General features: G+C 41.7%; 1 long non-coding RNA gene across 1 annotated transcript in view, besides 2 other annotated features; it reads left to right on the top strand.

Annotated features, from left to right (window-relative positions):
- Nucleotides 1-23,532, top strand: part of CFAP20DC-DT (CFAP20DC divergent transcript) — a 724,471-nt gene that overhangs the window by 294,003 nt on the left and 406,936 nt on the right. The gene's annotated exons all lie outside the window — the stretch shown is intronic.
- Nucleotides 5,331-5,390: an enhancer, noted in NCBI's record as "active region_20015". NCBI's record gives its function as "activates an Ori minimal core promoter by ATAC-STARR-seq in GM12878 lymphoblastoid cells {active_cell/tissue: GM12878}" and the evidence as "EXISTENCE:reporter gene assay evidence [ECO:0000049][PMID:35858748]".
- Nucleotides 5,561-5,620: a silencer, noted in NCBI's record as "silent region_14492". NCBI's record gives its function as "represses an Ori minimal core promoter by ATAC-STARR-seq in GM12878 lymphoblastoid cells {active_cell/tissue: GM12878}" and the evidence as "EXISTENCE:reporter gene assay evidence [ECO:0000049][PMID:35858748]".

Below are 23,532 nucleotides of genomic sequence, written 5' to 3' on the forward strand. Positions count from 1 at the left end.
TGAGAAACATACACAGAGAGGTCATACTTTATTGGAGAAATATGTTCTTATATAATTCAAAATTCACCTATTCAAAGAATAATATCAGCCAAAAATGGGAGGGTGTTTGTTTGCCAGCTAAATGAGCGTTCCCATGTAGCCCTACTGTAAACTCTGTTTACAGTTCACTTGCCTTCTTTATGCTGAGATTAAATTATGTGATTGCCAACAAAATTTAATTGGGTAGGAGGAGGTTACATTATTTCAAATTTTGTACATTAAGAGAGGCTCAAAATATTATATGTCACATAATCTTGAATTCATGTAATTTATGCAATGTGGTGTCACTATAATTTAGGACGTTATAATACTCATCCTTTCTACAACACCCCAACACACTACCACTGTCAAATGTATGCTATTTAGTAAATGTATAAGGAGGAACCTAGTGAGGCTTGGGTACTATAATGTACATTTCACTTTAGCCCACCTATAGAAAATTTTGGTTTTAGTAAAATTGGGCACTGGTGTCTGATGGCTATGTCCTGTTTTCACACAGGCCAACTCTTATGAATTGAATGAAGTTTTCATTTCCACACTGGGCCGGTTTCTCAGTAGTGAAATGAGTTTCTCTGCTTTTGCTGAGGGGTTGAGCAATACAAGTCCAGGGAGAAAACCTCACCCAGATTTCCTTGGTTAGTTTCAAGGAAGCCTTCACACTAAGAAAGGCATTGCGATAGGGCTGACCAAGAAAACACTGAAAGTGTGTGGAAGGATGCAGTACCCACCCTGCTAATGTAGCCCTGGGCATTGGCCCATGGGGTCCTTGCAACAAGGCTTTGAAGTCCTCATGTTCATTCTTGTTAATAAGGCAACTGAGGCCCCTAAAAGTCAACCCACTGCCCAAAGTCATACTGCTGGTACACAGTGAAGCTGGGCCCACTGCAAAACTGTATCATCCTGCACAAGCAACCCAGGTTCTCCTTAGAAGGCAAGACCTTTAAGCCATTTTATACAGGAGCCCCTGGAACATTTTCTCTTGTTTTCTCTAATATGCTCTCCCTTCCATATCTTTTCATGCTATTTTCTAAAAACAATTCTCAGTGCTCTACCCACCAAATTCATTTTTTTTCAAGGAATGATTAGGTGTTTTGTCAAATAAACAAACCCCTAGGACTCTGTATGAGGTAAAGGAAAAGCATTACATTCCAAAAAGAGGTGGCTATACAAATTACCTGAAAAATGTTTAATAGGACAATAGGATAATTCTTGGATGAATATACATCTTTCAAGTGAAATGCTGTTTTGTGTAGTTATGTGAGCATGGCATAGATGAATTATGAAATAATTTTCTAGATTCCCCTGCCTATATCCTTGGCTCTAACTGGAATCTTTCCTCCAACTTCGTTCATCTCTCTTCTTTTTTTGCGTGTGTATCAGTATGACCTTGCCTAACGTTGCACTGGGAACTTAATAAATGAAGCTATTCTTCTGTTATTCATGATATTGTCCACCCAGGTTCTATCACTTCCTGAAATAAAAATAGTCTCTTACAGTGGTCTGGAGGTTTATTGTCTACAAAGCACTTTCTGCCTATCTGATCTCATTGTGGCATCTCAGTGCCCTTTGGCTTAGAGATAGAGTGAATATCACCCCTTTCTTATGGATTAGAAGCTTGAATTGCAAGATATTTTGAGGCTTGCCAGGGGCAAGAGAGCTGATATCCATGCCCATGTCACTTGATTCGATGCCCTCTGTTCTTTTCCTTTTGCCACACTGCTTTTCCCCAGGGACACTCCTTGGATGCTGCCCACTTCTCCCCAGGTCTGTATTACGGGGCTTGGAATATCCACAAACGAATGTGACCTGAAGTAGAATTCTAGCAACAACTGCCATCCCAGGTGGTGCCTGCTCTTCCCCTTAATGGCATAATTATTTGTATCTAAGTGCTGCTCTGCAACCAAAGCCTAGTGTCCAAATGGCAATTCACTGAATCTAAAACTCAGGAGTGGTCAGTTGCCATCATGCTCCAACCCTCTTTACATCTTAACTCACTGCTCTAGAGAAGAAGTTTTGTGTAGCCTTCTAACCAGAACCTACTGACAACACATGCAGGCCCTGCTGTAATTAAGTATTGATTTCATGTGATGTGTGTATACAGAGGAGGCTCATCTCATTTGTGGGCTGCTGTTATCTGTCAGTAGAACAAAATGTGTGATTATCAGTGGATGTCCTGTGGCTATCTATGGCATACTATAACCTCTCATCCATCTAATCGTAGAGACATTATGGTACGCCACTCAAGAGTGGGCCATTTGTCTTAACACGGCCCCTGCTGCAGTTGGCCTGCTTTTGTTCCCAGAAATAGCTGCACAGATTCTTCACTGAAACACCTTCTTAGTTCCAATTTGGTGCTGCCAGAATGGAGACCTAGCAAGGTCCATCCATGATAATGTAATATGGCTGTGACTTCAAATAAATGGAACACCAGGCATTATTCCTCTTCTGCTTTCTTTGAGGCAGTCACACCTCCTGACATTATTCTGGTTACCTTGCTGAACCCAGGAGAAGGGAACAAGTAATTGTGGATGGAACAAAGTTCACCTTATAAACATTGTCAGGAAATGCTGGAGGTTCTTGAGTCCGCCATCATCTTTATGCAGCATTCATGGCTCCCAGGCTGAACTGAGAATGCTCTGCTTTTTAGATTTGAGGGGGAAGCTATATTGGGTCAGAAAGGGGCTTCATGCCCACTATGGGAATGAGAGCCTGAGGAATTGAATTCTGAGTCTTTCTTAATTGTGTGATTTCTCTTTCTGCTTGACAGTTTCATCTCTACTGAGCCACTGGCTGTCTTTACTAGGAACTTTCTCCTAACAGCAGAATGAGAGTTTCTAAATAAAGACATGAACTTTTTGTGTAGGTGTCTTTGCTTATTTGGCATTTTCCATCTTGGGGTGGGAGGTTGGATGGAATAGCTTTCGTAGGTAGTGCTTTTGCTGTCCCTACTTGCTCAAAATATCGGCCTGGGGTATCAAGAACTGAACCAATTAAAAAATCTTGTTTCCTGTGCTGGTGCTCTTTCCTTTAACACAGTGGTTTTCTCTCTTACCTACTGCTACCCAAAGTTATTTCCATTAGGTGTTTCTTTCCTGCTGCCATGTAAAAAGATTAAAAATAGTATTGTAGACAGACTGAATTTAGGGGGAAATTTTTCGGTCCTGTGCACCATTGTGGATTATGTCTTTGAAGCTCACACTGAACTCCTCAAGCTCCATTTTAAGTGTCATTTTATCACATCCCATTCACTTGAGTCCAGAGTCCTGAGCTAGGGAATGGCAGATAATTGCCAATCCCACCATGAAAGTGTTATCTGCATATTAAACACGTCACTCAGGAATCCAGTGAATGAGTCAGAGACAAAAGTTTAAAATAAGATCATCATTCTTGCAGGTCCTCCTTCCATACATTGCAGCAGGAGTCTGTTAGGGACCATATCGAAAAATAGAATTGCAGAAATCAAGTATGTTTCTTTCAGTACCTCTAGGTGGGGAGTGGAGGGTCAGTAGGAGAGAAAATATAGGCTTTGGGTTGAGAGGGATCTGGGTTCGATTTCCCAGCTCTGTGATATTAAACAAATCAATCACTCATCCCTAAGGAGTCTCAGTCTTCTCATCTATAGAACATGGGCAAAATACTGATCTTGCTGGTCAGGAAGATTAAACAGGCATCACCCGTAAAGCCACCTAGCTCATGCCACGCATAGAGGCATCCGGTGGCACATTGCCCTCAACACTGGGTGAATACCATTTTGAGTTAATTACAGCTCTGATTTCACAGACCATTTCCAAAGTTTAATTGTATTTCTTTCATGCAGTCATTTGAACTATCTACAGCGCGTTTCTTGTAGGTTACACCTGGCTACTGGAAGACGTCCTAGGTGATTGTTCAAAGGGGCCCATTGAGAGGTGAGTGATGAGGCTGGTGAGAATTCTGTGGTGTGCTTAAGAGTCTTCTGGGCATTTGCTAAATCTAGTCAGATTCTAGGACTCAACCCCAGAGAATCTGATACAGCGTTTGAAGAGGGGACTCTGAAATTTGCACAATGAAGGTTCTCCTCAGGTACTTACAATGTAGAGGCCTTTCGCACTAGACTTCAAAACACACTGCCAGAAACATGCCCACAGAAGAACCGCTAACGACTTAGTGATATGGAAGGGGGGCAGAGAGGTGCTGGGAAGAAAAGGACATGGTCCCTGGTGAGGGTTCCACCCCCGGCCGGTGCCCACGGACCTAGGTGAGAAGAGGGACTCCTGCATTTGTGGCCAAATATTGCATTTCCCAGGACCACCCTGGCCTGCCACACTGTCATCCTGTGCCTATAAAAACCTAGAAACCCTAGCAGGCAGACACAAAGGTGGCTGGACGTCAAGAGGAGCACATCAGCAGAGGAACACATGGGTGGCTGGATGTCGAGAGGAATGCACCAGTGTAGCACAACACCAGCACACTGGCAGGCCATCGACTGGCAGAACAATGCGGAGTGTGGCTGAGGTGGTTGGAAAAGAGTCGGGCGGCCAAGCGGCCGTACTCCACGGGAAAACCATCTCCCTTCTGGCTCCTCCATCTGCTGAGAGCTACTTCCATGCAATAAAACCTTGCATTCATTCTCCAAGCCCATGTATGATCCGATTCTTCTGGTACACCAAGGCAAGAATCCCAGGATACAGAAAGCCCTCTGTCCTTGTGATAAGACAGGGGTCTAATTGAGCTGACTAACACAAGCCACCTATGGATGGCTAAACTAAAACAGCACCCTGTAATACACACCCACTGGGGCTTCAGCTGTAAACATTCACCGCTGGACACTGCCGTTAGGTTGGGGCCCCACAGCCTGCCCGTCTGTGTGCTTCCCTAGAGGTTTGAGTGGCAGGGCACTGAAGAAGCGAGCCACACCCCCATCGCACGCCCTGCAAGGGGGACAAGGGAACTTTTCCTGTTTCACTAGGATTGACCACTGGGAAAATGCCACTCATGGGAGATGAGACAGCAGCCATCCAGTCACCAGAGAGCTGTGATATCCAGTCACCAGAGAGCTGCGATATGGACAAGCATGGGATTTGTCCTGGAGCCCCAGGGGTCAAAACAGAGCCTGATGGGTAGAAATTCCAGGGAGCAAATTTCCATTTAATATAGATGAGTGCTTTTCTAAGAATTAAAGGTGTCCAAGTGTGGCCTATGTAGCTCCAGGGGAAATGAACCTTCCAACTCAGGAGAAATTTAAATTTGTCTGTCTGAGTGACCTCTGGGAATTTTATAGAGAGGAGATTATCGCATGCTCTTAGCCCCCAATGGCACCCGAATTACTCTTATTGCCATTGCTTATACCTTTAGGTCCAGTGTGTTCACTCTCACAGATATTTGTTACCCATTTACTCAGTGCCTGATTCTATGAGGATGAAGCAGGAAAGTGCTCTGCAAATCCAGGACAGAGTGTGATTTTCGCAGATGCTGTTATTAGAAAAGAAAATGTCGGGTTTCACTTTCCATATGGAAAGAGGTAGTAGGTATTTCTGGTAATGAGAAGAGAGGGAGGGATTACTCATTGGAAGAAAGAGGTAATGAGTAAGCTAGTTCCGCTTTGAGAAGAAAAATGCTTTCACAACAGCTTTTAACAGATTGATTAAGCAAAGTTTTCGTTTTGTTTCAAATAATTATTTGTTTTTCTGCCTTTCTCTTCAGAGCTGTGAAATTCTAGACGTCTCTTAGAAATAAAATGGGTTGCTACACACTTATTTTTCTCAGCTCTATATACATTTCTCCTTCTTCTTTGAAATTTGTGGCCACCATTAATGTATATAGGATGTTCTCATTTTGATTTTCAGTTGAGACACTGCAGACTTTTATGAGGGATGCTTTGGATCAAGCAAGAGACACTGAGTAGTTTCCTTCCTTCCAAGATTTCAAAGCAACAGCACCATATTGAGTCTAAACTCAAAGCCTTTGTTCAGAAGCCAGCAGCTGGCTACTCACACCAAGATGGCATTGGATGTTTTTGGAGTGGGATATCCAGGTGACATTTTAATAAAAGCTTTCATGGGCCAATTATTTAATCTATAGAGTTTTATAATTAGCTGACTTTGAAACCTTATTAAACCCCATGTGCAAGATCATGTGAAATTGTACCTCAAGTTTGATTTTTCTTTGTTGTACCCCTCTTCTCTCCTACTTCCTTGATAGTTGCTATTTGTTTGATATTTTTAAAAATTTCTTATTGACACACAGATCCATCCACAAAACAAAGTCATAAAGGCACCTTGATCTGTAAAGTGTTCTGAGTTTCTTAAAACTCTAGTACAGAATGAGAGTCTCTAGAAGGTAGAAGGCCTAGTTTTGGAAGTTGCCATCAGCATTGGATTTTTGCCGAATAGTGCTATATATGTTCAATAATAAAGTTTTCTGTTTTTGTCAACTATTTCTTATGGAACTATTCTCTGTGATGCTGAGGTTACAGAAAAATATCATTTTTCTGTCACTGTTGGTGTTCTTCAGGACCTCACTTTTAAATAGATGTCCTTTTGAAACCTAGGTGGTTATGTGCATCAGAAAAACACCTTATCCTGTGCCCCATTGGGTGACTTGGACAAAGTAACACAATTTTGGTGGGGGAAATGGTACATATTATGTTTCATAGGAGCCAGATTCCAATAGTAACCATCTGACCCTTGTGATCCTATGTTTTCAATTTTCCTATAAAAGAACGCAACAAACAGTGCTGCTCAAGCCTATTTTTCTATTAAGTGTTCTTTGATTCGTGAGTTGCTGGGTAGATTTTCCATTCTCAGTGTTAGAAGACACGAACATCAAATACTTTTCTCTTAGAGTAACTTCTCATGCAACTGTCTCATGGCATATGCTAAAAGAAAAGAAAGTTCCTTACGTATGAGTACAGAGAAACGGAGCATGATTTTAACCTTGGTTTCAGGTTTTGTTATTTAGTCTTTTTGACTTGAATATGAACTCAAGTGTTTGCTAATTAAAAGAATAAACACAGCAGCCATTGCTCCGCCAAAATACGTTTATCGAGTGCCTATCTTGTGCACAGTCCTTTGCTAGGCTCTGTTTATATAACATATCCTATTTAAAAGGCTGCTTGATAAATAAGCAGTTTGGAAATCCCTGGTGGGAGGTAGGTGGCGATATTCAGTGTAGCTTCCCCAGCTGCCACCTGGAACATGAGTCTGAGAATGTCTATGCAGGAAGATGATTAATTTCAAAAATCATTTCTAGGAAATTCTCTGGATCTTTATATAATTCCCTGGCCTCCAGGGAAAGAAGTTAAGATAACTTGAATTACTTGCCTTGGTAAAAATGTTGAACTGAATCCTGATCTCATTTCTTGCCTCCCCTTCCTTTTCTCTTCTTTCTAAATCAAAGAACAGTTTGACACTAATATGGTTGTTGTATTATTTATCTATTGCTGCGTAACAAGTTGACCCAACCTTAGCAGCTTAAAACAACTAACATCTATTATCACATAGTTTCTGGGAGTCAAGAATTCAAGAGAGGCTTAGTAGCTAAGTGGTTCTGGCTCAGGATTTCTCAGGAGGTTCTGGCTTAGGAGGTGGTGGTTAGGAGGTCAGCAGGGCTGCGGTGATCTAAAGTCTCACTCTCTGGCAGTCTGGTGGAAGGCCTCAGTTTCTCTCTACATGAGCCTCACCATATGGCTGCCTCAGTGTCCTCAGGATATGACATTTGGCTTTCCCTGGAGTGAGTGATGAAACAGAGAGAGAGAGATCAGACAGAAAACAACAGTGATTTTTATAAATTAGCCTCCAAAGGCACATACCTGTCACTTCCTCTTTATTCTGTTTGTCAGAAGTGAGTCACTAAGTCCAGCCCACATTCAAGGGAAGGAGAATTAGATTCCACCTCTTGAAAGAAGGAGTATCAACTAACTGAGAGCACATATTGAAACCACCGCAGCTGCACATGTCATTTAAAGTTTTCAAACATGGTTTCTTCAAAAGAGTCCTAAACACCTTTATCTTGCCTGATTCTGGTACAAGCATCTCTTACTCTAGAAGAATTATTGTATATGATCAGCCTTTTGCACAAGTCTCGGCTCCAACTGCTATCCTATTGCATCTGGAGCAGAATTTGTCTTAGCCAGTAGAGAAATGATAATGTACTGGGACATTTTGCTGTACTCAGAGCACTTCTCTGTGGTTTGAAGACTTCTCATCATCATGTTTTCATGTCATGAGGATGGTATCACTGATGAGCAAGTGTAAGTGGACTGACATTTATCTTGTGAGCGTGGGAGAGAGAGGGCTGCTTCTCTCTAAATGTGTGGTTCTCCTTGGTAAGACAAATGTAAACAAATCATATATTCATAAAGTTTAGAAAAGAAAGTCAGAATATACTGGAAATTGGGATAATAATAAGGCTGTTTATATTTATCTCCTGAGAAACTCTAAGCATTTCTTTTTTTTTTTCTTCTTTTTGACAGAGTCTCGCTCTGTCGCCAGGCTGCAGTGCAGTGGCGTGATCTTGGCTCACTGCAACCTCCACCTCCCAAGTTCAGGTGATTCTCCTGCCTCAGCCTCCTGAGTAGCTGGGACTTCAGGCACAGGCCACCACACCCAGCTAATTTTTTGTATGCTTAGTAGAAACAGGGTTTCACCATGTTGGCCAGGATGGTCTCAATCTCTTGACCTCATGATCCTCCTACCTCAGCCTCCCAAAGTGCTGAGATTACAGGCATGAGCCACCGCACCTGGCCAAGAAACTCTAAGCATTTCTAAGATATTAAGGGACTGCTAGTGAGAAAGGTTTTGTTTAAAAATTATTTTAGATTAACATACAGTAAAATTGAGCATAGTTGGTACACAGATCTATGATAACACATGTATAGCTCCTTCTAACCAGCACCAATGATCAAGGTACTGAACAGTTCCATTCCTCCAAATGGCTCCCTCTTGCTATCCCATCCTAGTCACACTTTCCCCCACCGCTACCTCATTTCAGCCTCTGATTGTCTCTCTATCACCATAGTTTTGTCTTTTTGAGAGTGTCACATAAATGGGTTTACACAGTAGGTAATCTTTTGAGATTAGCTTCTTTCATTCAGCAAAATGCTTTTGAGATTCATCCAAGGTGCTGTGAGTATCAATAATGCATTCCTTTTTATTGCTAAGTAGCATTTTGTGGTATGGTTGTACCACAGCTTGTTCTTACATTCACCTGCTGAGGACAGTTGAGTTGTTTCCAGTTTTTGGCAATTATGAACAGAACCACTATATACATTCATGTATAAGTGTTTGAATGAACATCAATTTTCATTTCTCTAGGATAAATACACAGTAGAGAGATTTTTATGTCATACGGTAATTAATGTAGACTTTAGAAGAAATCGTCAAACTATTTTCTAGGGTGCCTGTACCATTTTGCATCCCACTAGCAACAAAGAAGAGTTCCAGTGGCTTCATGTGATTATCAGCACCTGGAGTTCTCAGAATGTTTATTTTAGTCACTCTATTAGATATGTAGTGATATCTCATTGTCATTTCAATCTGCATTTTCCTAATGGCTAATGATTTTAAACACATATTCATGTATTTATTTGTCTTCCATATACCCTCTTTAATTAAGTGTCTGTTGAAATCTTTTGTTTATTTTTAAATGGGTTGTTTTCTTACAGTTGAGTTTCGTGAGTTCTTTATATATCGTGCTTTTATTGTCATGTCTAGTAACAGCCTAAACCTAGGTCATGAATATTTTCTTCTGTGCTTTATTCTAAACATTTTATAATTTTAGACTTTACATTTAGGTCTATAATCCATTTTATTTATTTCTATTTGTTTAAATTTTTGTGGGTACATAGTAGGTGTATATGTTTGTGGGGTACCTGAGATGTTTTGATACAGGCATGCAATGTGAAATAAGCACATCATAGAAAATGGGGTGTCCCCTCAAGCATTTATTCTTAGAGTTACAAACCAATCCAATGACACTCTTTAAGTTATTTTAAAATGTACAATTAAGTTATTATTGACTATAGTCACCCTATTTTGCTATCAAATAGTAGGTCTTATTCATTCTTTCTAATTATTTTTTGTACCTATTAACCATCTCCACCTCCCTCTCAGCCTCCCACTACCCTTCCCAGCCTCTGGTAACCATCCTTCTACTCTCTATGTCCATGAATTCAATTGTTTTGATTTTCAGATCCCACAGGTAAGTGAGAAAATGTGATGTTTGTCTTTCTGTGTCTGGGTTATTTCACTTAACGTAATGCTCTCCAGGCCAGGCGTGGTGGCTCATGCTTGTAATCTCCACACTTTGGGAGGCTGAGGTGGGTAGATGGCTTGTGGCCAGTATTTTGAGACCAGTCTGGGCAACATAGTGAGACCTCGTGTCTACTAAAAATTAAAAAAAAAACAAAACAATTAGCCAGGCATGGTGGCACATACCTGTCGTCCCAGCGACTCGGAAGGCTGAGGTGGGGAATCACTTGAGCCTCAAGAGGCGGAAGTTGCAGTGAGCTGAGACCGTGTCACTGCACTCCAGCCTGGGTGACAGAGCAAGAGGCTGTGTCAAAACAAACAAATAAAAAACCCAACAAACAAAACAAAACAAAACCATAATGATCTCCAGTTCCATCTATGTTGTTGCAAATGACTGGATCTCATTCTGTTCTTATGGCCAAATTATGTATGAGCACCATTTTGTATAAGTACTACATTTTCTTTGTCCATACATGTGATCCATTTTAGTTAAATTTTGCATAATATGTAGGTTTAGATTGGAATTTATTTCCTTATTTAGCATATGCTGTCCAATTGTTCCAACACTATTTTTTTTAAACTACCCCATTCATTAAATTGCCTGTAAAACTTTGTCAAAAATCAACTGGTTGTATTTGTGTTTTGCCTATTTTGGGGCTCCATTCTGCAGAGTCGAGATTTTTCTGGTTCTTTATAAGCTGAGTAAAATTGTATTAGATCCTGGACATTTTGAATATTGTGTGATGAGACTCTGCTTCTTATTTAAATCCTATGAAGAATGTTGGTAGTTTTGTTTCAGCAGGCATTTAAACTGGTTAGTTCAGGTCACAAGTTCTGATCAGCCTTCTGGGAATTGTAGTTTTAATGTCCAGTTCATTTTGAATGACTCTATAGTGTTATTCAGTGCTATTCAGCATCCAGTCTGGGACTGGGTGGTTGATTCTGGTGCATTGTTTAGGGTCAGATCTATGCATGAGCTACTTGGGGTAAGTCCAGGAATCCATAAGTCATTTTATGGGTTCATTTCCCCAAGCTCCTTCTTCTCCATGATCTCCCCTGTACTTTCCAGCTCCTATGGCTTTTCTTTTCCATCTTCCATTCAGAAAACTGGAGCTTTACTTATCCTACTCTGCTGCACATTTCCTGTGACTGCACCCTTGACCAAGGCCAGGCAGCAGAAAGACAGAACAACAGCAACAAACAAACAGAAACTAGGGTTTTCCCCACACACTCTTGGAGACAACAGCTCCTTTGATCCAGGAAGAAACTTCTGCTTCCTCAAAGTTTTAGGTGCCTGTGGATCACCACAGCCGGTGTAGAAGAGAATATAAAAAAGAGAGAGGGGGAAGAAAGAAAAAAGACTAGGAATTTTCCCCACTCCCTCCAACCCTTGGGAATTCTCTTGATAGAACAAAAGAGCTCCTGCTAGAGCTCTCTCAGTATCCTGTACCCATTTCTAAATTTTAGGCTTCCTTGAGTTTGGGCAGGGGACATTGGAGAAAAAAATGGTAAACTCATTTCCACTCTCTGAGGCAGCTGAAAAGGTCCTCCAATTTCAAGGAGAGGAGAAATAGGCTTTGTCTGATGTCATGGCCCTGGGACCTAAATATTGTTGTGTCCTTTTTGGACAAAATAATCTGCCATGACCAATTAATTGATCAAGGATTTCAAAATCATTATATTTAAATGTTACTTTATAATATGTATTTGCTGGAATATTTCTATAAAGTAAAACCTCCTCCCACCTGTGGTTAATCAGTGGTACCGATATGTGGAAAAAGCAAGATTAGCATTTGAATCTTTCCCTTTATTTTTTAGTTATCAGTAATGAATTGTTCATGAACATCATCAAATAATGTCCAATTAGTCTTTTTTAAAAAAGGGAATCATTATTAGCTTATGGATTTAAACATATTTGATCTGTTTAGATCATTGCAGTTATTAACCTTATTGATGCTCAAACTGAGTATGTAACTTTTTATTATCATCCACCTAGGATAAACCATGACTTAGGCCAAGTCACTTACCCAGATCACTCTTTTCCTTAAGAGTGTATTGCCATTATCGGCCAGCAAGTGCTCGGGAACTAAGTAGAATGACATCTATCCATTGAACCTAGAGATGCTTATGAACACCACTGTGTGCCAGGCACTGTACTAGGTACAGGGATTTCAATAGTAAGTAGAAATAGATATAGATTCCCTGTCCTCTTGGAGATCATATTAAAATCATGGAGAGAAAGACTACTTAAATAATCGGAGAAATAGTGTAAAATTGTAATGTGTCAGGAACTAAAAAAAGGAAAAACTTTGAGGAGAAGTTATGGGAGTGATCAGAAGAGTTGATCTCTTCTGGAAGGCCAGGGAAGGCCTCTCTTAAAGAAGGTAATTTATCTAAGATCTACAGGAAGTAAAGAGGCTGACCAGGCAAAAGTGGGAGGAGAGATGTGGGTGCATGAATGGGTAAATGGAATCTGGAATATTTTTATATTATCCTCTCCCCGTGCTATCCCTGTTTATATTTAATGATCTGACCCCAGACCAGCCGCAATCCTCCTGGGTCTAGATGGAAAAAAATTATTTTGAAGACTTCTATTATTATTTAACATTTTTCTTCTCTCCCTTTTTCATTTTCCTTCCCCAACAAATGGCACTAATCTCTTCAGTCATTAGATCAAGTAAGCAAAACAGGCTGTTTGCAAAAGTAAACAAACACAGATTCTACATTAACTGCACCCCACCCCCATTAAAACCCCATCCATAGGGTGGTCTTATAAAGATTCCCTACACCTTCCCCTGATTTTTCTTTGGGGCACTGCTGGGTTTCCTTGGAGAAGAGTCTACGAGCACTTAATTATCTGTAAAACAAGTTGAAACATGCCTCCAAGATCAATTTTGATTCTAGCTCAGCCTACTAAGCCTTAGGCCCCTTGGACTTTCTTAGTTTGTTTGCATTTGCACTGGTTACTCCCGGTAGCCAGGCCTTGAGGAAAAGGAGTAGAAAGCCTGGATGGTGGCTAAAGAAACTGGTTGTTTACCCTGGGGACCATCCCCTTAGAGCTGGACCTGGCCTTTTCAGAGAGGAGAGAGGCTTGACAGAGACAGACAGAAAGAGACAGAGATAAAATGAGTAATGACCACAGTGGCCTTCTACCTTTAAATTAGAAAGTGTCCAAGCCACTGAAGACATCCCAGACATGTGGTCCTAGGCATTCCTCTGTTGCCTACAACAACGAGGAATAAGATTGACAGCACTGCAGTCTTTCTATTTTGTTCCTTCTTTCCCAGGTTCATCATTTGCAGCTGCATGCAGGTGCAGGGGGTCCAGTCCCACCTTGGGGCCCAGTGAGAATTCACCCTTAATCTGAGAGGCTTAGTCTGAGAATGGCAAGAAGCCATTCTGTGGATGCTCTACTGCAGGAGAGCTTAAAGCTACCGGAGCAGAGCCCTCCCTCTGGCTCAAGGATCCCCCATCCCCTGATCAGGCCCATTTATCACACTTTAACAACCACCAGAAAGCCAACACTGGTTTGCTCTCATGTGCTGGCCTTGGACCTCCAAACATCCAATGAATCATAACCAGAAAGATCTGGCTAGTGTTACAATTTCAAGGAAAAATAAATTTCACTGGTGGCTCTTTTTCTAAACTCAAACCAGGTAAAGCCAAAGAGGATTTTGTTGCTCTTACAACTGAATAATACCTAGGCAGACAAGCCTTCTGGCAGAACATGATTCAAGTGATGTCAGGAGCCCTTGATGTCTTTCCAAAGCTACAAAAGAAGATTGGGGTACTGTTACCAAAAGAAGAAAGAGATGGATAAAAGTCTGTTTCAGATATACATAGTATATCTGGGTAGAATTATTTTTTCTTCTCTCTTTTTCTTCTTGTTGGATCCTGGTACTTCTCATGGATAAAGTAATGGAAAGGAATGTTTGCAAAGCAACTCCAAAAAATGATGGAGATAATGTGATACATGAGAGAGGATAACAGAAAGTTAACCTTTACAGGGCAAGATGTCAAACTGGTTCTTTAAAACAATCTACTCAGGGGTGGAGCCAAGATGGCTGAATAGGAACAGCTCCAGTCTACAGCTCCCAGCATGAACAACGCAGAAGACGGGTGATTTCTGCATTTCCAACTGAGGTACCAGGTTCATCACATTGGGGAGTGCCAGACAGTGGGTGCAGGACAGTGGGTGCAGTGCACCGTGCGTGAGCTGAAGCAGGGTGAGGCATTGCCTCACCCGGGAAGCACAAGGGGTCAGGGAATTCCCTTTCATAGTCAAAGAAATGGGTGACAGATGGCACCTGGAAAATTGGGTCACTCCCACCCTAATACTGCACTTTTCGAACGGGCTTAACAAATGGCACACCAGGAGATTATATCCCGCCCCTTGATCGGAGGGTCCTACGCCCACGAAGCCTCACTCATTGCTAGCACAGCAGTCTGAGATCAAACTGCAAGGCGGCAGTGAGGCTGGGGGAGGGGCGCCCGCCATTGCCAAGGCTTGAGTAGGAAAACAGCAGCCGGGAAGCTCATGAGTGGAGCCCACCACAACTCAAGGAGGCCTGCCTGCCTCTGTAGGCTCCATCTCTGGGGGCAGGGCACAGACAAACAAAAGGCAGCAGTAACCTCTGCAGACTTAAATGTCCCTGTCTGACAGCTTTGAAGAGAGTAGTGGTTCTCCCAGCACGCAGCTGGAGATCTGAGAACGGGCAGACTGCCTCCTCAAGTGGGTCCCTGACCCCTGAGTAGCCTAACTGGGAGGCATCCCCCAGTAGGGGCGGACTGACACCTCACACGGCCGGGTACTCCTCTGAGACAAAACTTCCAGAGGAACGATCAGGCAGCAGCATTTGCAGTTCACCAATATCTGCTGTTCTGCAGCCACCGCTGCTGGTACCCAGGCAAACAGGGTCTGGAGTGGACCTCCAGCAAACTCCAACAGAACTGCAGCTGAGGGTCCTGACTGTTACAAGGAAAACTAACAAACAGAAAGGACATCCACACCAAAAACCCATCTGTACATCACGATCATCAAAGACCAAAGGTAGATAAAACCACAAAGATGGGGAATAAACAGAGCAGAAAAGCTGGAAACTCTAAAAATCAGAGTGCCTCTCCTCCTCCAAAGGAACGCAGCTCCTCACCAGCAATGGAACAAAGCTGGACGGAGAATGACTTTGACGAATTGAGAGAAGAAGGCTTCAGAAGATCAAACTACTCTGAGCTAGAGGAGGAAGTTCAAACCAATGGCAAAGAAGTTAAAAACCTTGAAAAAAAATTAGACGAATGGCTAACTAGAATAACCAAAGCAGAGAAGTCCTTAAAGGACCTGATGGAGCTGAAAACCATGGCACGAGAACTACGTGATGAATGCACAAGCCTCAGTAGCTGATGCGATCAACTGGAAGAAAGGGAATCAGCGATGGAAGATGAAATGAATGAAATGAGGAGAGAAGAGAAGTTTAGAGAAAAAAGAATAAAAAGAAACAAACAAAGCCTCCAAGAAATATGGGACTATGTGAAAAGACCAAATCTATGTCTGACTGGTGTACCTGAAAGTGACAGGGAGAATGGAACCAAGTTGGAAAGCACTCTGCAGGATATTATCCAGGAGAACTTCCCCAATCGAGCAAGGCAGGCCAACATTCAAATTCAGGAAATACAGAGAATGCCACAAAGATACTCCTCGAGAAGAGCAACTCCAAGACACATCATTGTCAGATTCACCAAAGTTGAAATGAAGGAAAAAATGTTAAGAGCAGCCAGAGAGAAAGGTCGGGTTACCCACAAAGGGAAGCCCATCAGACTAACAGCGGATCTCTCAGCAGAAACTCTACAAGCCAGAAGAGAGTGGGGGCCAATATTCAACATTCTTACAGAAAACAATTTTCAACCCAGAATTTCATATCCAGCCAAACTAAGCTTCATAAGTGAAGGAGAAATAAAATCCTTTACAGACAAGCAAATGCTGAGAGATTTTTGTCATCACCAGGCCTGCCCTAAAAGAGCTCCTGAAGGAAGCACTAAACATGGAAAGGAACAACCAGTACCAGCCACTGCAGAAACATGCCAAATTGTAAAGACCATCAGGGCTAGGAAGAAACTGCATAAACTAATGAGCAAAATAACCAGCTAACGTCATAATAACAGGATCAAATTCACACATAACAATATTAACCTTAAATGTAAATGGGCTCAATGCTCCAATTAAAAGACAGAGACTGGCAAATTGGATAAAGAGTCAAGACCCATCAGTGTGCTGTATTCAGGAAACCCATCTCACATGCAGAGACACACATAGGCTCAAAATAAAGGGATGGAGGAAGATCTACCAAGCAAATGGAAAACAAAAAAAGGCAGGGGTTGCAATCCTAGTCTCGGATAAAACAGACTTTAAACCAACAAAGATCAAAAGAGACAAAGAAGGCCATTACATAATGGTAAAGGGATCAATTCAACAAGAAGAGCTAACTATCCTAAATATATATGCACCCAATACAGGAGCACCCAGATTCATAAAGCAAGTCCTTAGAGACCTAGAAAGAGACTTAGACTCCCACACAATAATAATGGGAGACTTCAACACCCCACTGTCAACATTAGACAGATCGATGAGACAGAAAGTTAACAAGGATATCCAGGAATTGAACTCAGCTCTGCACCAATTGGACCTAATAGACGTCTACAGAACTCTCCACCCCAAAGCAACAGAATACACATTCTTTTCAGCACCACACCTATTCCAAAATTGACCACATAGTTGGAAGTAAAGCACTCCTCAGCAAATGTAAAAGAACAGAAATTATAACAAACTGTCTCTCAGACCACAGTGCAATCAAACTAGATCTCAGGATTAAGAAACTCACTCAAAACCGCTCAACTACATGGAAACTGAACAACCTGCTCCTGAATGACTACCGGGTACATAACGAAATGAAGGCAGAAATAAAGATGTTCTTTGAAACCATCAAGAACAAAGACACAACATACCAGAATCTCTGGGACACATTCAAAGCAGTGTGTAGAGGGAAATTTATAGCACTAAATGCCCACAAGAGAAAGCAGGAAAGATCTAAAATTGACACCCTAACATCACAATTAAAAGAACTAGAGAAGCAAGAGCGAACACATTCAAAAGCTAGCAGAAGGCAAGAAATAACTAAGATCAGAGCAGAACTGAAGGAAATAGAGACACAAAAAAACCTTCAAAAAATCAATGAATCCAGGAGCTGGTTTTTTTGAAAAGATCAACAAAATTGATAGACTGCCAGCAAGACTAATAAAGAAGAAAAGAGAGAAGAAACAAATAGACGCAATAAAAAACGACAAAGGGAATATCACCAACGATCCCACAGAAATACAAACTACCATCAGAGAATACTATAAACACCTCTACGAAAATAAACTAGAATATCTAGAGGAAATGGATAAATTCCTCGACACATACACCCTCCCAAGACTAAACCAGGAAGAAATTGAATCTCTGAAGAGACCAATAACAGGCTCTGAAATTGAGGCAAGAATTAATAGCTTACCAACCAAAAAAAGCCCAGGACCAGATGGACTCACAGCCGAGTTCTACCAGAGATACAAGGAGGAGCTGGTACCATTCCTTCTGAAACTATTCCAATCAACAGAAAAAGAGGGAATCCACCCTAACTCATTTTATGAGGCCAGCATCATCCTGATACCAAAGCCTGGCAGAGACACAACCAAAAAAGAGAATTTTAGACCAATATCCTTGATGAACATTGATGCAAAAATCCTCAATAAAACACTGGCAAACTGAATCCAGCAGCACATCAAAAAGCTTATCCACCATGATCAAGTGGGCTTCATCCCTGGGATGCAAGGCTGGTTCAACATACACAAATCAATAAATGTAACCCAGCGTATAAACAGAACCAAAGACAAAAACCACATGATTATCTCAATAGATGCAGAAAAGGTCTTTGACAAAATTCAACAACCCTTCATGCTAAAAACTCTCAATAAATTAGGTATTGATGGGACATATCTCAAAATAATAAGAAGTATCTATGACAAACCCACAGCCGATATCATACTGAATGGGCAAAAACTGGAAGCATTCCCTTTGAAAACTGGCACAAGACAGGGATGCCCTCTCTTACCACTCCTATTCAACCTAGTTTTGGAAGTTCTGGCCAGGGCAATTAGGCAGGAGAAGGAAATAAAGGGCATTCAATTAGGAAAAGAGGAAGTCAAATTGTCCCTGTTTGCAGATGACATGATTGTATATCTAGAAAACCCCATTGTCTCAGCCCAAAATTTCCTTAAGCTGATAAGCAACTTCAGCAAAGTCTCAGGATACAAAATCAATGTACAAAAATCACAAGCATTCTTATACACCAATAACAGACAATCAGAGAGCCAAATCATGAGTGAACTCCCATTCACAATTGCTTCAAAGAGAATAAAATACCTAGGAATCCAACTTACAAGGGATGTGAAGGACCTCTTCAAGGGAACTACAAACCACTGCTTAAGGAAATAAAAGAGGATACAAACAAATGGAAGAACATTCCATGCTCATGGGTAGGAAGAATCAATATCGTGAAAATGGCCATACTGCCCAAAGTAATTTATAGATTCAATGCCATCCCCATCAAGCTACCAATGACTTTCTTCACAGAATTGGAAAAAACTACTTTAAAGTTCATATGGAACCAAAAAAGAGCCTGCATTGCCAAGTCAATCTTAAGCCAAAATAACAAAGCTGGAGGCATCACTTCAAACTATACTTCAAACTATACTACAAGGCTACAGCAACCAAAATAACATGGTACTGGTACCAAAACAGAGATATAGACCAATGGAACAGAACAGAGCCCTCAGAAATAATGCCTCATATTTGCAACTATCTGATCTTTGACAAACTTGAGAAAAACAAGCAATGGGGAAAGGATTCCCTATTTAATAAATGGTGCTGGGAAAACTGGCTAGCCATATGTAGAAAGCTGAAACTGGATCCTTTCCTTACACCATTTTCAAAAATTAATTCAAGATGGATTAAAGACTTACATGTTCGACCTAAAGCCATGAAAACCCTAGGAGAAAACCTAGGCAATACCATTCAGGACATAGGCATGGGCAAGGACTTCATGTCTAAAACACCAAAAGCAATGGCAACAAAAGCCAAAATTGGGCCGGGCGCGGTGGCTCACGCCTGTAATCCCAGCACTTTGGGAGGCCGAGGCGGGTGGATCATGAGGTCAGGAGATCGAGACCATCCTGGCTAACAAGGTGAAACCCCGTCTCTACTAAAAATACAAAAAATTAGCCGGGCGCGGTGGCAGGTGCCTGTAGTCCCAGCTACTGGGGAGGCTGAGGCAGGAGAATGGCGTGAACTCGGGAAGCGGAGCTTGCAGTGAGCCGAGATTGCGCCACTGCAGTCCGCAGTCCAGCCTGGGCGACAGAGTGAGACTCCGTCTCAAAAAAAAAAAAAAAAAAAAGCCAAAATTGACAGATGGGATCTAATTAAACTAAAGAGCTTCTGCACAGCAAAAGAAACTACCATCAGAGTGAACGGGCAACCTACAGAATGGGAGAAAATTTTTGCAGTCTACTCATCTGACAAAGGGCTAATATCCAGAATCTACAATGAACTCAAACAAATTTACAAGAAAAAAACAACCCATCAAAAAGTGGCCAAAGGATATGAACAGACACTTCTCAAAAGAAGACATTTACGCAGCCAAAAAACACATGAAAAAATGCTCATTATCACTGGCCATCAGAGAAACGCAAATCAAAACCACAATGAGATACCATCTCACACCAGTTAGAATGGTGATCATTAAAAAGTCAGGAAACAACAGGTGCTGGAGAGGATGTGGAGAAATAGGAACACTTTTACACTGTTGCTGGGACTGTAAACTAGTTCAACCACTGTGGAAGTCACTGTGGCGATTCCTCAGGGATCTAGAACTAGAAATACCATTTGACCCAGCCATCCCATTACTGGGTATATACCCAAAGGATTATAAATCATGCTGCTATAAAGACACATGCACACATATGTTTATTGCGGCATTATTCACAATAGCAAAGACTTGGAACCAACCCATATGTCCAACACTGATAGACTGGGTTAAGGAAATGTGGCACATATACACCATGGAATACTATGCAGCCATAAAAAAGGATGAGTTCATGTTCTTTGTAGGGACATGGATGAAACTGGAAACCATCATTCTCAGCAAACTATCACAAGGACAAAAAACCAAACACCACATGTTCTCACTCATAGGTGGGAATTGAACAATGAGAATACATGGACACAGGAAAGGGAACATCACACACCAGGGCCTGTTGTAGGGTGTGGGGAGTTGGGAGGGATAGCATTAGGAGATATACCTAATATTAAATGATGAGTTACTGGGTGCAGCACACCAACATGGCACATGTATATACATGTAACAAACCTGCACATTGTGCACATGTACCCTAAAACTTAAAGTATAATAATAATAAAAAATAATCTACCCAGAGCCTCTATCCCTTTTTTCATCCTCATGATTTGAAGTTTCCCTCTCCTTAGGAACAGAACTGGGTAGAAGAGAGAATGACTGCCAACCCACAAAGTGGAAGTGGTATTAGGGTGGAGGAAAAAAAGGAGCTGGAAGGAAAGAGGGATGTTTGGAGATGGGAAGAGAATGTGAATGAGAGGTTCTATAGCTGAAGTGTTGGCCCTGCAGGGATGCCCTAAAAATCCTTAGAGGCTGGGCACTATACCCAAAGCCTTAGTATTCTTTAGACTCAGTAAAGGTTGAAGTAAATAATTTGTAAAACCTTCTTTGGAGTTCTGGGGTGTGTTTGTGTGGATGTGTGTGCACACGCACACCTGGTTGAAGGAGGGAAGCACCAGGAGGTGCCTGGACTCCCCATTCTGGAAGTTGGGGCATGAACAGAGCCCTTAGGATAGACCAACCCATGGATCAGTTCCCTTTTTCTTTGTAAATGATTGCTCTACTCTCTCTCCTCCAAGATCAGTTTCATCTACAATCATTCAACAGCTATCTGCTGAAGGGTTAATGTTTCTATAGAAAGGCAACATACTTCAGTGCTTTTATATATGCCCTTGGGGTCAGATGGACCTGGGCTCCAGTTCCGTTTTTGCCTCCTGCTATACATGGGACCTGGAGCTGCCCATGGGACCTTGGACTTTGCATGGGATCTTGAGCTGTCCACAGAACCTTGAGCATGCTACTTATCCTTGCAGATAGTAAGCTCTCAATAATTGGGAGACACAATAATGATGCAGGTTCCTATGTCTTTACTGGGTTTGTCTAGGGATTTGGGGATGTGAGCCTGAGGGTCCAATTGGAAAAAATCTCAACTTACTGAATAGTGACTGAAACATTTGAGGTGTGAATCCCTGCACTTTGACAGTGCCTGGTGTGAGACCATAGTGCTACTTACCTGAGCTGTACTTTGGTTTCTGTATCTTGGACAGTGTGTTTGTATGGGGTGAGTGGTGACCAAGATGACTGCTGCTCCCATCTTACAGGACTATGTTAGAACCTGGTTTGGATCTTGCTTTGTGAATTACAAGGGGTGGGGGCCAAGGAACAGGGTATGGGCAGGGGAAGAAATAGAGGGGAGGGGATGCCTCCAACTACCAGCTTTTGAGAGCAATACTGTCTCCCTCTCCTTGTGCTGTTTGGGGCAAGAGGTAAGGCAGCCAGTGGTGTGTGGAACATCTCAGTCTCGGTGCACAACATTCTCACCTTTGTGTTTTCCTTGGAAACAGAGGCCTGCCAGAACAGTGAACTTATCCCCTAAGCCCAACCCAGAGGTTTATTCAAGAAAGTGTCTTTAAATTCATCTGCTCTAATTCAGAGTAGTGAGAGATCATTTTATATGCTCTGAGCTGAGAGGGAAGAAAAACTTCTTATATTGTTTCCTTGGGATATATGGAGGTATGAGTTGAGTTCTATAATTCTAGAAATTATGACAACGCATCCATAAAGATGAGGCAGAATCCCCATGCAGCAGTTCCGGTAGCTTAAAGGAATATTATTTAATACCCATTCATGGGAGTGTGGCAGAATTTAAAGACTTCATGTAACCCCTTAATCACTGTTGGAAAATGAGCAAGCTCAGGCCAGGTACCTGGAGGCTTGGAAGCTTTTATGGAAGGCTTGGTATCTGAAGTTGTTTGGGGTCTGTTCACAGTTATTTTGTGTACTTCTAAAGAGTGATTGAGCCTGTTTAATCTACATTTAAATCTCTCTCTGCTTAAAGCCAGCTTCTTACAAAAAAAGTTCTGATTCAATTTAATTCCATTCAATTCAAATTAATTCAATTAAGGGAATTAGTTGAGCAGCTAGTTGGTGCCATGTGAGGCCTGTGGGGAATCTAAAGATGAACTGGACCAGGCCTCTGATCCCCCAAACAGAAGGGGATGTTCAGCAATTGCTACTTAAATCTCCACGAACAAGAGAATTAAGGAATTACTGGAACTTGTACACAGTTCTCTGACCAGAATTAGCCTATTCTTTTCTATTTTATATGTTTTCATCTTCATCTCCTTGTCTTACCTAATAACTAACACATTCATTTATTCAGCAAATATTAATTAAGAATCTATTTATGCCTGGCAGAGAGGCAGTGTGGGGAGAACAGCTAATCATTCTCATTTGTTTGCAGCATAGCTTGATAGGACCAAGAACCCAAGCTGGAGAACCAGATGGTGGGGCTGTGAAAGAGGACAAGTCCACAGCCTCTCTAAGCTCCAGTTCCTCATGCACACATGGAAATAATATTAATAAATCCCTCACATGGCAGGGAGGACTAAAGGAGCTAATGTGTGTAAAAGGTTCAGGACCTTTACTAGCAAGCACATAGTGGGTGCATAATAGCTGCTATCTATCTATCATCATCTTTGTTGCCTACTTTAGAACAGAAATTCTCAGAGCTAGAAAGCAGTTGCATTTTATGGATGGCAAATAACCGCCAACACTTGATAACAAATGATACATGTCAATAATGAACACATATGAATAAATAAAGTACTAACAGATATACTTAAGTGTTCTAAACCTCTCCCTCATGCCTCTGCCTATAAGGAAGACTAGATCTCATGAGCTGCAATATTCTTTATAGCACTGAATCTGGGCCAGGTAAATAGGGGAGAGTGAAGGAGGCAAGAGGCCAAGTGGAGCTATGGGATAACACACGGAGATGGAGTCATATAGAGAAAGACTAGGTAGGTTTCTGCAGAACTGGCTTGGGA

This window comes from Homo sapiens, chromosome 3 (assembly GCF_000001405.40).
Source record: "Homo sapiens chromosome 3, GRCh38.p14 Primary Assembly".
In the NCBI taxonomy this organism is placed as follows: domain Eukaryota; kingdom Metazoa; phylum Chordata; class Mammalia; order Primates; family Hominidae; genus Homo; species Homo sapiens.